At 35.6% G+C, this 17562-nt stretch overlaps 2 annotated features.

Annotated features, from left to right (window-relative positions):
* Positions 206 to 265: an enhancer, noted in NCBI's record as "active region_21589". NCBI's record gives its function as "activates an Ori minimal core promoter by ATAC-STARR-seq in GM12878 lymphoblastoid cells {active_cell/tissue: GM12878}" and the evidence as "EXISTENCE:reporter gene assay evidence [ECO:0000049][PMID:35858748]".
* Positions 276 to 345: an enhancer, noted in NCBI's record as "active region_21590". NCBI's record gives its function as "activates an Ori minimal core promoter by ATAC-STARR-seq in GM12878 lymphoblastoid cells {active_cell/tissue: GM12878}" and the evidence as "EXISTENCE:reporter gene assay evidence [ECO:0000049][PMID:35858748]".

A 17562-nucleotide genomic window follows, 5' to 3' on the forward strand; every position in this document is an offset into this window, starting at 1 on the left:
GCCCATAACCCAGTTCCAAAGCCAATTCTGCATTTTCAGGCATCTTTAAAGCAATGCCTCACTCCTTAGTGCCAATTTTCTGTGTTAGTTTGTGTTGCTATAAAGAAATACACAAGGCTGGGTAATTTATAAAGGAAAGGTTTATTTGGCTCAAGTTTCTGCAGGCTGCACAAAAGACATGGAGCTGCCAGCCTCTGCTTCTGGTGAGGACCTCTGGCTACTTCCAGTCATGGTAGAAGGTGAGGGGAAGCCAGCAAGTACAGACGTCACGTGGTGAGAGAGGAAGCAAGAGAGAGAGAAAGTGAAAGAGAGCAGGAGGAGTGTTGGGCTCTTTTTAACAGCCATCTCTCAAAGGAACAGGCAGATTTTTCGAGGATGTGTAATTCTATTATTTATCTGACCACTCGTGCCAGATAAGCATGACAGATTCCACTTCCCATACAGGTTAACTTTAATTTTGCCAGAATTCCTCAAAGAATAAGAGTTTTTGAGAAATTTAAAAAAAAATTTCAAGATAGATTTTTGGAAAGAAGAAACTAGATTTGCTAACAAATTACAAATTTATCTGTATCGGGGCATTTGCATTATAAAAAATGTAAAACTTTAAAAATCAATTTTAAAAAGGATTTTTTGTTAAATGTTATTCTTTAATTTCAAAAAGTTTACCTTTTATGTAATCTCTTATTAATATTCACCAAATAAAATTCAAATTATTTGGACCAATAATATCGGGATAAAACTTCAATCATGATCTTTCAGTGTTTCTGGTTACAATTAAAAATATCTACTTGTTGTAATTACGCACTAGAAATTGAAGAGCAAGTTAATCTCTTTTTTGTTTGAATTTAATTTCCTGCTAATTGATAAGACAATTGAAAATATCACAAGGCCAAAGCAGAATTTGCTTTTAAATATAGGCAATACAACTGACTAACATTCAGTACATAGAAGAGAGTTCAGTCTAGACAAATTTAGATTTCAACTCTCCTTGTATAATTTTTGTAAGGCATTGAGATGATAGTAAACCTGTGGAGTACCTATGCCTGGCATATAGTAGGCATTCAATAATAATAATAACAATAATATTATTTTTAATTGCAGTTATTTTTATTTACCTCCAAAAGCAAGAAAACCATTACTATCATTAATACTGCTTTTTCATATATATACTTTAAGTTCTAGGGTACATGTGCACAACGTGCAGGTTTGTTACATATGTATACATGTGCCATGTTGGTGTGCTGCACCCATTAACTCTTCATTTACATTAGGTATATCTCCTAATGCTATCCCTCCCCCCTCCCCCCACCCCACTACAGGCCCCTGTGTGTGATGTTCCCCTTCCTGTGTCCAAGAGTTCTCATTGTTCAATTCCCACCTATGAGTGCATTAATACTACTTTTTCTATGAAAGGTCTCACCTGTAAGATAGAATATGTTGGAAACCTTAAATATGCTTTCTTCCTCTCTGCTTTTCATCCTTTTTGTGTTCACTCCTGGAAACAATAAGATATTTCTGAAACCCTATTATAAATGCTTAATATTGATCCAAAATGCACTGTTATAGAAATAATTACACATGTCCATATATATATATATATATATATATATATATATATATATATATGCAATAGACACATGGTTCTTCAGTATTAGAAGTGCTCTTGGGAGAAAGATGACAGATAATATCTCTAAAGTTACACTGCTTTTAGAAGACAAGTGGACTTTTTATTCCACTATAAGGGCTCATGTATGTGTCAATGACATTTTGCAAACAAATGAACAATGATGCTTCTGAGGCTATTAAATTTGAAATCAGAAGAAAATGATAGGTAGCACTCATCATGTAGTTAAATTATGCTTACTAGCTACTGGAGGATAAGATGTAGTGTAGGCAATCAATCAATTTTGCAGCATATTTTTAATTTCTCCAGATATTCGTAGGGATTGATTGCTATTGTTCCATTAGGTAACACCATTGCATTATTTTAAGGTTGATATCATTAGCCCCAGGCACATGCAAAATATAAAAACTAAATGTTTAAAGAAAAGGTGACCTTCTATTTCAGAACACAGATAAATAGTAAATGAGCTGTATAACCTCCAACATTGATGTTTCAAGGTAATTTAATAACAAGACCCTTAACTAAAATACTGAAGTGCAGTACTATACATCACACTTAGAGGCATTCACAGCTTGTAAGGACAATTAGTTACAGTGACTTTTCCAATTCCACCATATTAAATTCAATTAATCTATCATTGTTGAAAGATACCTTGGTTTATTAGACATTTTCTAGGCATTTCGGTCATTAATAACACTTTAAATTCATATTTGTAGCCTGGAGAGACAAGTGTTTGTTTGTTTCCAAGACAATAGTTCAGACACTATAGTTTTTATAAAGGTTGGTAAAGGTCAACTCTGTGTGTGTGTGTGTGTGTGTGTGTGTGTGTGAGAGAGAGAGAGAGAAAGAGGGAGAGAGAGAGAGAAGAGTGAATTTTGTTGCTAAGATTTTATTGCTAAGACTCTTTGGAAATAAAAACCTCCACTCCCGACCACTCTGATGATTTTTCACACTAGCCTTAGCCTGTTATCTCCAAGAAGGCAGAAACAAGATTTTGCTGTTTATGTTACACGTGATACTTTGCAGAGCATTAGGTTTTTATAGATATTAGTTTTGATTCCAAAGTTGCAACAGTTGATATTAAAACTGTTACAAAGTAAAGAAGAAAAATACATGGAACAAGAATTCATCTCAATTATTCTAAATGGCAGTCCTCAAGTGACATTTAGGTAGTGTATCTCAGTCTTTAAGAACTCCGGCTTTGGAGTCAGAGAAACATGAGCTTGAGTCTCAGCTGCTCTCGGCTTCTTTGTGGATATTTGCTGATAATGGGCAACATAATTATGTTTTCTAAATCTTATTTTCCTCATTGATAAATGGGTAAAACAAGAACACTCATTACATTGGCTTGTGTAAATTATTGTTATGCATTTTTTTCATGTTCAAACAAGCAACTAAATTATTGAAAATGTATCTGTCTCTAAGATGCTTGAAGAACCTACAGCACTTGCCTAGTGTATGACTTATAGAGAGTAGGAAGGAAATAGCACCTGCCACTGTTAGTTGCTTACCAGTTTATTAGTCATTTCTACTTTCTGTTTTGCAATAAGAATTCTAATTTTATTCAGATTTGAAGGAAGCAGTGTGTCTACACAAAGCATGACTAGTGATTAATCTTGTCAGTTACATTAATCCTGTATCTTTACCTGGTTTAGGGTTGAGGATGTGACCCTGTTTTGGTAAAAAAGACATAAGAGTAATCCTGCTGAGGACCCTTGGAGAAATAGTTTCCTCTCTAATTAAAAGAGGGAGGTGCATAATTGGGCCCTTCAGCCTCTCCCCACCTTTGCCTGTGTGCACAGTTACACTGGATTATGAGGTTTGCAGCAGCAGCAGCCACAGGCAATCATGAGGCAAGAGGCAAGAGACTCATAAATGACTGAAGGGCCTGATGTGGTTGAACTGCTGAATTAACCTCTGAACTTCTTCATTCAAGATTTATTAATGTAACCCTATGTTTAAGCCACTGATCCTAAGGATGCTATTATTTGAAGCCAAAAACATTGTAGTCTGCTGCTATTGTTAAAATGCATAATCCTATTAAATTTTTTCTTTGGGTAGTCCCAAATGAGGAAGGAAAGGGGTAATATCTAAAAACACTTAAATTTAGTAATTGATGTATTTCATTTATTCATTGATTGGATACATGTTTATTCAACTGTAAAAGTGAAGCAAATATGTATTAGGTATTGTGGGGAACACTCAACAAATTGGGCAGGATAGTGAATGAGCAACAGCACATTATAATAAAATCCCATAGGGGTGGAAGCATGACAGAACAAAATTTTAATCTGGGCATTGCAATAGCAAACATTATGGCCTTCAATTTACTTATTTCTCAGAGTCTCTGTAAAGTGAGTATATAGTGATCTCTACCTCTAGTACCACTTCAAAAATTGGTGATTAGTGTTATCATTTATTATTTAGTCACTATCCCTAACCTAAATAAATAGTAGTTGGATGAATGAGCAAATTATATATTTTCTCATTGGTACCAACAATGACATATTTTGCCTAAACTTTAGTTCTCTAGAAAAAGAAAATGAAACAAATTTACTTTAGAAAACGTCACTTAAAAATCAGTCACTAGAAATTTAAATAAAGATGTAGAAATGTTTATGAACCTAAGGCTATTGAGAGGATACCATCTATGAACCATTTATTTTCTTGGGGATTTTCTTCTCTGCATTATTTTGCAGCACTAGTTGTATATTTTTGCTTAAAAAATTTAGGCCAAAATAAAATGTATATATATTCACTTTTTTTATTTGAAAATACCAGTCTAGAATAATCAAAACCTCCTCACGTTAAAAGAGCCAGGTAAGTATAGATACTCATACAAAGTATAATTAATACACACATGTAATTGTAGTGACAAATAATTAAATATATAATAATGACTATTAAAACATCAATAAAGTTAGCCCTCCATATGTGCAAGTTCTATTTATTTTTCTGTTTTTATTTTTTAATTTTTTTGAGACAGGATCTATCACTCTGTCACCTAGGCTGGAGTGTTAAATGGTCAACTTTATATGGGCGGATGTACAGTAGATTATATACAAATACTATGTTATTTTATATAAGGAATTTGAGCATCCATGAAGTTTTATATCTGTGGGGGTCCTGGAACCAATCCTCCACGAATACTGACAGAGGACTGGATGTATTTGTGTGACCACTATTAACTTTCACCTTATTTTCCTGGCATATACCCAAAAATCATACAAGGTAAAACTTATATTTGGCAAAAGAATTGGAGCCTTACCCTTATTGAATGCAATCTAAAAATAAGGTATCAATTGTCAAATCACCTAAACACTTATTAATAGTAGCAATCATAGCTAACTTTTATTGAGCTAGACATTTTATGCTAGACATATATGTGCTAGACACTCTTCTAAGCACTCTGTATTAATTCATTTAAACTCATGATGTTACTAATATTATTCTTATTTTACAAAGGAAAAAACTTAGGTACAGAGAGGTTTATTAACTTGTTTAAAGGTACACAGTTGGTAAGTGGCAGATCTGGAATATGATCTGGGATATGACTGAGGCACTGTGCTGTAGATCCCATGCTTTTAACTATAACATACCTTATTTGGAAGAGGTGAGATTTACATTAGGACAGCATTAGTAAGTGCTCATGGTTTAGATCTTAAATGCTTGGGGTTTCTGATAAATAAAAATTCAATAAGGTTTCGAGTAAGTACTGATGCTTGAGAAAGTGGACATTTCCTAGAAACCTGACAAGTTATGATTTGAATAGGCAGTGCATCAAGGAATGTGTGCATTCAGGCAGGGAAAAGAGCAAGAGTAAAAATACTAGTGCAGTAGTAAATTTATAACATACATGAGATTTTAATGATATGGATGAAAACATTTTAAGGAAACAAATTTTTATTTGTTTGTTGTCGATTCCTTTTCTTTGTAGTTTCCATGCTCCTCTATTCCCTGCAGAGCTCATTCTTCATTCAGTGATGTGGTAGGCTTAATAATGACTCCCAAAAGATATCCACACCCTAATCCCTGGAAACTTTAAGTGCGTTTTATTACATGGCAAAATATACTTTGCAGATGTATTTAAGATTATGAATTTCAAAATAGGCAGATTATTCTGGATTATCTGGGTGGGTGCTGATATGGCTTGGCTCTGTGTCCCCACCCAAAATTCTTCTTTTAGATCCCATAATTCCCATGTGTTGTGGGAGGGACCCAGTAGGAGATGGCTGAATCATGGGGGTGGGTCTTTCCCATGCAGTTCTCATGATTGCAAATGGGTCTCATGAGATCTAATGATTTTAAAAACAGGAGTTTCTTTGCACAAGCTCTCTCTTTGCCTGCTGCCATTCACATAAGATGTGACTTGCTCTTCCTTGCCTTCTGCCATAATTGTGAGTCCTCCCCATCCAAACCCTTTGTCCCGTATAGGGTACCCAGTCTCAGGTATGTCTTTATCAGCAGTCTGAACGCAGACCATTACAGTAAATTGGTACCAGGAGAGTGGAGCACTGCTGAAAAGACACACGAAAATATGAAAGCAACTTTGGAACTCGGTAACAGGCAGAGTTGGAACAATACGGAGGGCTCAGAAGAAGACTGAAAAATGTGGGAAAGTTTGAAACTCCCTAGAGACTAGTTGAACGGCTTTGACCAAAATGCTGATAATGATATGGACAATAAAATCCAGGCTGAGGTGGTCTCAGAAATGAGAAACTTAATGGGAACTGGAGCAAAGGTGACCCTTGTTATGTTTTAGCAAAGAGACCGGTGGCATTTTGCCCCCACCCTAGAGATCTGTGGAACTTTGAATTTGAGAGAGATGATTTAGGGTATCTGGCAGAAGAAATTTCTAAGCAGCAAAGCACTCAAGATGTGACTTGAGTGCTGTTAAGGGCATTCAGTTTTAGAAGGAAAGCAGAGTATAAAAGTTTGGAAAATTTGCAGCCTGACAATGCAACAGAAAAGAAAATCCCATTATCAGAGGAGAGATTCAAGCTGGCTGCAGAAATTTGCATAAGTAACAAGGAGCTGAATGTTCACCCCCAAGACAATGGGGAAAATGTCTCCAGGGCATGTCAGAGGTCTTCACGGCAGACCCTCCTATCACAGGCCCAGAGGCATAGACAGAAAAGACGGTTTTGGGTTTTGTGGGCTGGGCCCAGGGCCCCCATGCACTTGGTACCCTGCATCCCAGTCACTCCAGCCACAGCTAAAAGGGCCCAAGGTACAGCTCAAGCTGTGGCTTCAGAATGTGCAAGCCCCAAGTCTTGGCAGCTTCCACATGGTGTTGAGCCTGCGAGTTCACAGAAGTCAAGAATTGAGGTTTGGGAACCTCCGCCTAGATTTCGGAAGATGTATGGAAATGCCTGGATGCCCAGGCAGAAATTTGCTCTAGAGGAGCGGCTCTCATGGAGAACCTCTGCTAGGGCAGTGCAGAAGGGAAATGTGGAGTGGGAGTCTGCACTAGAGTCCCTGCTGGGGCACTGCCTAGTGGTGCTTTGAGAAGAAGGCTACCATCCTCCAGACCCCAGAATGGTAGATCCACTGACAGCTTGCACTGTGCCCCTGGAAAAGCCACAGAGAATGCCAGCTAGTGAAAGCAGCCAGGAGAGAGGTTGTACCCTGCAAAGCCACAGGGGTGGAGCTGCACAAGACTACGGGAACCCACCTCTTGCATTGGTGTCAGCTGAATGTGAGACATGGAGTCAAAGGAGATCATTTTGGAGCTTTAAGATTTGACTGTCCCACTGGATTTCCTTCTTTTTTATTTCTTTTTTCTTCTTTTTTTTTTTTTTTTTGACAGAGTTTCGCTCTGTCTCCCAGGCTGGAGTGCAGTGGTGTGACCTTGGCTCACTGCAAGCTCCACCTCCCAGGTTCACACCATTCTCCTGCCTCAGCCTCCTGAGTAGCTGGGACTGCAGGCATCCACCACCACACCTGGCTAATTTTTTGTATTTTTAGTAGAGATGAGGTTTCACCGTTTTAGCCAGGATGGTCTCTATCTCCTGACCTCATGATCCGCCCACCTTGGCCTCCCAAAGTGCTGGGATTACAGGCATGAGTCAGCTCACCCGGCTGTCCGACTGTATTTCAAACTCGCACGGGGCCTGTTGTTTCTTTGTTTTGGTCAATTTCTCCCATTTGGAATGGTTGTATTTACCCAATGCCTGTACCGTCTTTGCATCTAGGGCATAACTAACTTGCTCTGATTTTACAGGCTCATAGGCAGAAAGGGCTTGCCTTGTCTCGGATGAGACTTTGGACTTTTGAATTAATGCTGAAATGAGTTGAGACTTTGGGGGACTGTTGAGAAGGCATGATTGGCTTTGAAATGTGAGGATATGAGATTTGGGAGGATCCAAGGGTAGAATGATATGGTTTAGTTCTGTGTTCCCATCCAAATCTCATCTTGAGTTGTAACTTCCATGGTTCTCATGTGTCGTGGGAGGATCCTGGTGGAAGGTAGTTGAGTCATGGGGGTGGGTCTTTCCCATCCTGTTCTCACGATGGTGAGTAGATCTCATGAGATCTGATGGTTTTAAAAATGGGAGTTTCTCTGCACAAGCTGTCTCTTTGCCTACTGCCATCCAAGTAAGATGTGACTTGCTGCTCCTTGCCTTCTGCCATGATTGTGAGGCCTCCACAGCCACGTGGAACTGTAAGTTCACTAAATGCTTTTTCCTGTATAAATCACCCAGTCTTGGGTATGTCTTTTTCAGCAGTGTGAAAATGGACTAATGCAGGCACAATCTAATCACGTGAGTCCTTAGGAGCAGGAAACTTTGGCTGGACTCAGGAAGATACAATAGCAGGAGAAGGTAGAAGAGATGTGGTAGAAGGGACATTCAGGGAGATTCCAAGCCTGCAACTCAATGTGCTGTTGCTAGTGCTGAGATGTAAGAGTCACATGGAACAACAAGAGAGAGGCTTCTGGGAGCTAAGTGTGGCTGTTGGCTGATAGGAAGCAAATAAAGGAACTAGTTCTACAACATTAAGAAACTGAAATCTGTTAACATCCTGAGTGAACTTGAAGTGGATTCATCTCTATAGTCTCCAGGAAAGAGCTAGTCCTGTTGACACTTCCTTGGTTTTAGTCCAGTGAGATCCATTTCAGGTTTCCAAACTACAGAAACTGTGAGATAATAAATGTATGTTGTTTTAAGCCACCAAATTTGTGGTAATTTGTTACAGCAGTAATAATAATTTAAAAAAATGGTGTGCAGAAGATTATATCTGCATTATGAGGAGGCAGGTGCAGACTGTGGTAAAATTTCTATTATTTTTCCTTACTCCTTACTCCATGTTCTGATAATAATGGAAATATAAGTAAATACTCCAAAACCCTTTTCTTATGTTACTCAGAAGTCTGGTATTAAAAATTGTACATTTCTATTTTTATCTGTCAAGATTTTTAACTAGAAATGTCATCATTTCTTAAAGTATTTAAAAAATGGTATATTAGATAGATAGTCAATTTTTCTTCTCTCTGCAGTAAGAGTTTTCACTTAACTGGGATATTTTTATTCTTAGCCAATACTTATAGGAAAGCTGTGGAACAAAGGGTTGTGTTACTCTGAGAGTTTTTTGAGATTAGATTCTTTATAGATTTTTATACGAGGGAAGAAGAGGAACGAGTTTTCCCTCCTGGTATATTGGAATATAAAAAGAAAACATTTAAGGCTGCTCTCTACTTATTGGTTATGAGATAGGTGCTGGTAACTAAGGTTGGTTGTGTTTTTTAACATATGAGATTTATGCCTTTTGCCAAGGGAAATAATTCCAGAACTAAATATGTTTTTCCTGTTGGTTTATCTTTGTATTACTTTTTATATTCCAGGCTTTCTCATGGTCTACTGCCCTCATGTGGATCTGTTTGTGAGAATTAAAAACAACTGCCTAATCAAAAACTTGTTAATAACTTCAGCTGGTCTCCTTTTACAATTAATCTAGTTAGTTTAGCATTTATAAACATACAACATTGAGTTTTGGAATAATTACTTTTCAACACTAAAACTGTGAAACTTATCTGAAAGGACTATTCTATCCTGGACCAATATCCTTCAGAAACTTAAGAAAATAACCAACAAACCTGATCTTAAAGCAGAGGATTTTTTCTTTCACTGAATGAATTTGAAGTGAATACTTTTTGTTGATTAGCTCCCTTTTTCTTAGTTTTTGGATTCAAATAATTAAAGCTATAGTAAATAGAAGTGTCTCTTTTTGTGTGTTCGAACTTCAGAAATAACGCTAAGAAGAATTTAGAATTTAAAATGGTACATACTTAACCTTAAATGAAAATAGAATTATAGGGATTATCAGATTGAACTGACTCACAATGATTTAGATTACATTTACTTAATTTCTTTTGAGAATAATTGTATTTTAATACTTACATTTCCTTTCATGTTGATTCCAGAACTTAGATTACTAATTATCTTAGCTTTCAAGGGAAAAATATTTAAATAAATAATGTATTATTCTGTTTAATTTTATTTTATTGTCAAGAAAAATAATTTAGAATCTACTCACCTTAACTGGGACTTTCCCTTCCTTGTTGTGACTCTGTTTCAGGCTAACAAAAATCAAGCACTTTTCCTGACACAGATGTACTATTATAATTTGTATTTTCAGATTTTGTAAAGTATTTTTCATTATTTCTTAAAAATCTGGTTATACATATAATACATTGTCATTCTAAAAATGTTTGGGGAAATTTTGTGAAGAAGGCAATAGAAATCACCTCTCACTAAACAATCAAAAAATGTTACTATTTTTGGGGATGTTTATTTTTAAGACTTTTATTATACATATATAATGGACATTTTGCAAGAAAATTAGTATCATTTTTCTTATTCCAATATCTTTCACTTGGCCCAAGACATACTTCGGAGAAATATATGGATGGTCAGAGAAGATAGGTAGAAAAACAAAGGATAATAATAAACTTTTGCCATTCAAAATAAGATTTTCCAGAATGTCTTCAAAACCAGTCTTCATTAGAGATAAGGATTTTCCTAAATTTATTTTACTTCACATTTAACCTGTTAAGCAGCAGGGCCTAGAGGGCTGTTTTTGTTGTTGTTGTCATTGTTGTTGAGACGGAGTCTTGCTCTGTCACCCAGGCTGGAATGCAGAGGCATCATCTCCTCTCACTGCAACCTCTGCCTCCCAGGTTCAAGCGATTCTCGTGCTTCAGCCTCCTGAGTAGCTGGGATTACAGGCACCCGCCACTACACCCCACTAATTTTTGTACTTTTAGTAGAGACAGGGTTTCACCATGTTGGCCAGGCTGGTCTCGAACTCCTGACCTCAGGTGATCCACCCGCCTCGGCCTCCCAAAGTGCTGGGATTACAGACGTGAGCCACTGTGCCCAGCTCTTTTTTTTTTTTTTTTTTAAATAACTTAAATAACATACCCTATTTTTCATTAAAGTTTCAGAAGTTAGAGTTGGGAAAAAGTTAGAAATGTGACCAAGAATTGAGGAAACATGACAAGGAAAGGAGAGAAAAAGAAAGAGGACAAAGAGATTGAGGAGGTGTTCAGGATCCAAGCTAATAGTGCCCCTTCACTTTCCTGTCTCCAATCCAAGCCAAAGGGCTAAGCCTCAAAAAGGGGAAAAGGGTTACTTTACAAATATACAGAGTAGCTGAAAAAAGCACTGAAGGCAGACTAGAATTGAACTAAAATGAGGTGGCTATTTAAGGGGACAGAGCTGACGAGTAGGCAGAGAGAAGAAGAGGGAGTCAAATTTGCATGTAAGACTCATGTGGTTATATGGTGCTGTGCTGGCTTGAGTGCCTGGTTGCCAACTGGGGTAGGCCATTGAAAGGATGTGCAGTGCTCATAGCAGAGGCTACAGGTGGGGCAGGTGGTTGGAAAATATGGCAAAGCTTCGAAAATGATTTTAGACAGTTAGAGTTATGTGGAAGTCATGTCAACCAGAAGGGCTACTGAGAATAGACTGAAGGGAAGTAAGGTCATGAGTTGTGTCATCTGTTGACACCCACTTTAAACACTAACAGGGAGAGCCAGGCAGACAAGGAATGTTGCTGTGGAGCACAGAGTAGCCAAAGGTTACTTGGCTGGTACAATGACTGACTTCTGTTCAGCAAAGTTACATGACTTCTTTTGCCTACATTCGTCTGGACATCATCTTAGAAAGAAGCAGGGGTTTAGTGAGAAATAAAAATAAGAGAAGCTGAACAATTATTCCAAAAGACGAATGTTTAGCTTGACTAAAGATCGAGTAAGAGCTAAAGTAAATACAGTTTTCTCTGCTACCGAGGGAGTAGAAATTTGAAAGTGTTAAAGAAAAATTATGGGAGGCCATTGCTTTGGACCGAACTCCTGCACTAGGCTCCAGTAGACAAGACTAAACCAAAAAAGCATCACTCATGTTAAATGCCACATAATCAAACTTTAAGGAAACAGAGAGGTCCCCAAACAGACCAGTTTTTCGTAGAAACAGAAGATTCCAATCTACCTGCATCAGAGTAATAAGGAGGTCACTCTGCTTTAACCCTTACAAAAAAGTAACCTGAAGTAACCTGATGTTCACCAGTTCTTTCTTCCATTGTTCTGTTTCCTTTTTCCCATCTTATATAACTATATATGTAAATACACACAGAGACATATATGTACACACATGCATGCACAAAGGAAATAAAATTTGTATGCTATCATATTTAATATTATAGCATAGCTATTTTCTCCCTTCAATAATTAAGTTTGAAATTATCCATTTAAAAGTATGTATTGTGAAATATAACACACATTTATGAACTAAATTCACACGAAGAAGCCTACTGTGGATTACTTCTTAGTTCCTCAATTCAGTAAGTGTTTACTAACATTAATATTTGCTAATTTTTAAATTTATAAAAATTATTATCTCATTGTTACATAATCTTTATCAACTACATATGCTCCATAAGCAATATGGTATATTTTTTCTTTTAAAAAATTCACATAATGAACTTATACTGTATGTTTTATTTTGTAGCCTACTTTTAAAACAACTCAACATTGTGTTAAGTATTTAATAAATTTTAAACATTGTATCAATGACATTATATGACTAGGCCTTTTTATGTATGTTGTACAATATTATATGACTATATCACAAAATTTTAATTTATTCTATTAGCGACAACATCTGAGGTGTCTTCATTACTTTGCTATCAGAAACCACACTGCTGTAATCATCTTCGTACATAGATATTTTATGATGAAGAGTATGAATTTCTCTAGGGCATATCATACAGATGGAATGAATGTGTTACAGATTACCTATGTTTTCCACTCTATTAGCAATGCCAAACTATTTTCGGAATAGATTAAAACAACAAATTATACTTAGTAGTTTTGGAAAATATTTTTTCAAGTAGATACTTTATGATTTGGGTATCTATTTCTTTAGCTTGGAATTGAGATTTTTTTAAATTTATGATTTATTTAACACCAGTAAAATTAATATCTTCGTGTGCTCTATACACTGTGTCAAAGTTTCTATGTATTTCCTTTTAATCAATTTTTAGATTTGAAATTATGCTGATCAAGTTTGATCATTTTCGTGTCCTTGATAAAATTTTCATGCTTAAATACACTCTTATATGAGATCATCCACATATATCTATTTTCCTTGCCACCTGTGAAACATAGTGCTCTTATTAAGAGTCATTGTACAATAACATCAAAGAACAAATAGACTTGAAAGAATCAAGTACAGTATTTATATTTTTTCTTACCCATATCAGCTATTGACTATAAACAGGGGCGTTTGCCAGTTTTCCAGAATAGTAGGAATGCTTTTTTTACTCAAATTCTTTTCATTAGAATATTGAAATTACCATATACTAGTCTGAGAACTTTTTTTTTAAGTGTCTGTCATTTCTGGTTATGCCTTTTTTGCTTTACAAGAAAAAAGGCCCATGATAAAACTTCTGCAAATCTTGCTCTGATACACAAAAGAGCAAATGCTTCTCTTTTTATGACTAGTGCTAAGCAAAGCAATATATGTAAAATATTTTTAGCTAAATCATCATAGAATTTCTGAGAAAAATTTTAGTACATCTGGAAAAAAAGGAAAGCTCAAATAATTCTAAAAAGGTTATCTGATATGTATCAAATCTGTAATTGTTTTGCATTGATTTTAAACATCATTGGCTATTCTTAAATATATTTCAAATTTTTTTAAATGGCCACAATTATTCTATGGAATTCCTTGAGATTTTATTTCAAATTGTGTTTCTTTTTGGATGCACAGTTATTTTTAAAGGGTTAATCATGCAGAAATGTAAGCTGTGAATCAATAATAACCATGCTGGAAATTAACCTCCAAGGGAAAGGTAAATCTACTGAGATTGTACAAGACAGAACTGCATTAATGCCAGTCAATTTTATTTAGATTGAATCGCCTACAACTAGAGCTGAGTTAACCAGAGCCCGCAATTTCTTTTTTTATTTCTTTCCTTTAGTAGTGGCCTAGGTGATTTGATTTCAATTCACCTGGGGTTTTGAGAAACAAAATCCTCCCCCATAAAAACTGCATGGTGTTTATGACCACCACAGGGATAGTTTAAAAAACAATGAAAAAAGTGGGCTTATGAAAAATAAAGCTGGCTAATTACAGCAAATGGGCTTAATTTAAAAACCACAGGTGCCTCTTTTATAAGGTTTGGTTGTGCTCTTGCCCATAGCATGTTAATATATTATGGGATAAAACTGAAATCTTTGCTGTGGCCAGCTTTAAATGGGGGAACATTTGGTTCAACTCTATTTACAGTTTGGATCGTATATGATGTCATAGAAAATATAAAACCTGCAAAGACATGTTTCTGCCTTGAGGTATATAATATCTAGTTCATTATTTATGAAATTCAAGTAAAATAATATCAATTAATGCCGTGTCAAAGAGCTCATTTGCTACATATTTTGTCTTAAGTAGAAGTACAAAAGGGTTTATTCAATAGTTTATACTATTTTACTTTTAGAAATCTGTGATATGAGAAGCATTAAAATGTAGTTAGTGAAAATAATTTTTGCTAAAATAATTTTGGTTATGGTGGATTTCTATAAGCTTATAATGCCTGACTTTTGATACATGTATTTTTCTGATAGATGTCTCCTAGATGTGACAGGCTTTCAAATCTCCTTACTCTAGGCACTGAAAGTTTAGGTTAGTTCCTTGGGGTTCTTGTGTTTCTAAATCAAGCAAGTATCTAATCTTTTTCTTGTCCTTGAGTAGTTAGAAGTTGCACCATAATCAGAGATTTAGAACAGAATTACTTAATGAGAATCAGGGAGGAAGCCAATGAACCCCAAAGATTACCATCTTGAAATTAACCCAAGGCAGTAAAGAGAACAACAAGTCATACAGACTCAGTTTCTAATTGCTTTGCGAAACAAACATATTATAAATACTTCACCTAAAATTCACTAAATAATATCATGTTAGATACTTTATTGAATGTATGCATAGATTCATAGATTTCAAATAAGCTAAGAAATCTCACATGGTTACAGGTATGTATCTATTCATTTTTTATTTTTATAAGAGAAAAATCTATTCAAGCTATTTTGGTTTAATTAACTTTTGTATTAATTTTATGGTTATATTTGGAAAGCATATGTTATGTCACAGAATGAAACCCTCATGTCCTTAATCTGTAAAATTAAGATACTACATCCTCCTTGGAGGTTTGAATAATGATGTTCCCTCCAAAATTCATGTTGAAACTTCATCTTCATTGTACTAGTTTTAAGACGTGAGGCCTTTTGGGGAATTGATTAAGTCACAAGGGCTCCAAAATCATGAATAGATTAGTGCCTTATAAAAAGGTTAGAGAAAACTAGCCTGGGTCCTTTTTGCCCTTCTGCCATGTGAGGACACAATGTTCACCCTCTCTGCCATGTTGAGGACATGGCCAAAAGCCCCTTACCAGACACCAAATGCTGACAGCTTGAACTTGGACTTTCCAGACTTCAGATCTGTGAGAGGTAAGTTTCTGTTCTTTAAAAATTACCTAGTTTTGAGTATTTTTAAATAGCAGCTATACATAGAACTAGACATAGAGTTCCTAGTGAAATTGCAGGAACTCAATAAATGGTACAATTATGTTGTTGTGTTTACAGTAATATATTCATTTCTGACATTTCTTATCTGAAAAATCTCCCTGTTTTAAAATAATATTTTCATTATCAACTGTTACTAATTACATTTGATCTGGGACTCATTCTCATACACAGGTCAAATATGTACACATATTACTAGCAACTAGTATTGATCACGTTTTGCTGATATTTTAAGAAAACTTCTGCATAACTTTCTTTACATCTAAATACATTTCCATTTTCACCATTATATTATGTTTTGAAAAGAACAATCCTATTAAACATTAATAAAAAAATTTCCTACCATCATATGACTCAATATCTTAATAACAGCCTATAGAGCTTATTTTGCATCTAATACATTACAAATGGTATGTTATGTTATGCATATTAAACATATTTCTAGCCCTTACAACACACATATTATGATCACTTGGATACGATGTGGAGAGAGTTGAAAAGATTATGTAATTTACCTACAGTGGCTAAAACATGAACTGATACAGGTTTGTCTGACTCTTACTTTCCCAATTTTTCTAGAAACAGTCATCTTTTATTGAGGTTGACTCAACCAACCAGCTGATGCTAAGCCTAGAGCTAGGTTGCCTAGATTTGGAAAGTTTATTTAAGTAGGAATTCCTTTTCTTTGGATAGTGCTGACAACAGTAAAGCTTAAATGCTTTGCTCAGTAACAACACATTTTTAGCCATATCTATATAAGATACACTGATATTACTTTATTCTCCTTTAAAGAGTAAGTCCGTGGAATATTGAACTTCCTAAACACTAACTATAGCAAATACTTCAATATACATAATTGAGATGACATTTGATATTTAATTGACTGTTGCATTATAAAACTTTAGAAATTAAAGGGTCACCATAAATTAGTCCACTTAATATTGAGGTCCATAGGATTTGCAAAGACCTACAACTGGAACACAGGTCGTTGTCAACTAAATGATATTCATGTAGAAAATTGAGGTAAAATGTCTTAATGCACTAAAATTTAGGCTGAATGTAAGGTTCATTTGTTCATTCAGTAATTATTAAGTGTCTTCCATACATCAGATGTTGTTTTAGGTACTGGGAACTTGATGGTGAATGAAATAGATAAGATGAATCACAGATAAGGTTCCTGCTCTCATGGGGCTTATTGCCTAGTGGAAGATAAAACAACTCACAAGCCAGGGAACAAATAAATTAAAACATTTCAGATTTTGATAAATGCAATGATGAGCCTAGCATGGAGACTGAGAAATGTGTGTGTTTGCACATGTGTGTGCCCATCTGCTTGTATATATGAAGGTGTATGTGGAATACTTCAGGGAAGAAACTCTGAGGCCGTGATATGTATGCTGAGATATTTGCCATTCATACTACAATAACAAGCCCACCATGGAAAATCTAGCAGTGTGTTTCAGAAAAAAAAAAGGCCCTGAGATCAAAACAAAAACAAACAAACAAAAAAACCTTGGAATGGTGAGGAAATAGAATTAAGGCCAATATGATTAAAAGTAGTTAATAAGGCATTTAAACATTTGTGCATATAAGTGGCCTAAGTGTAGTGGTGAGTGATGTGATATGCTTTACATGTTTCAAGGATCAGTTGGACTGCTACATAAAGAAAGGAGAAAAAGGTCTTTTTATTAAGGAATTAATGTTTATAACCCATTCAATCGTTTATTCAACACTGAGTTCCTACTTTGTGCCAATCACTCTTCTAGGCACTGAGGTAATAGCAGCGAATACAACAAAGTCCTGAATCTCACAGCCCTTACAGCAAAGAGAGGGTAGGCACACAAAAATAAACAAAAAC

This window comes from Homo sapiens, chromosome 4 (genome assembly GCF_000001405.40).
Source record: "Homo sapiens chromosome 4, GRCh38.p14 Primary Assembly".
NCBI classification, from domain to species: domain Eukaryota; kingdom Metazoa; phylum Chordata; class Mammalia; order Primates; family Hominidae; genus Homo; species Homo sapiens.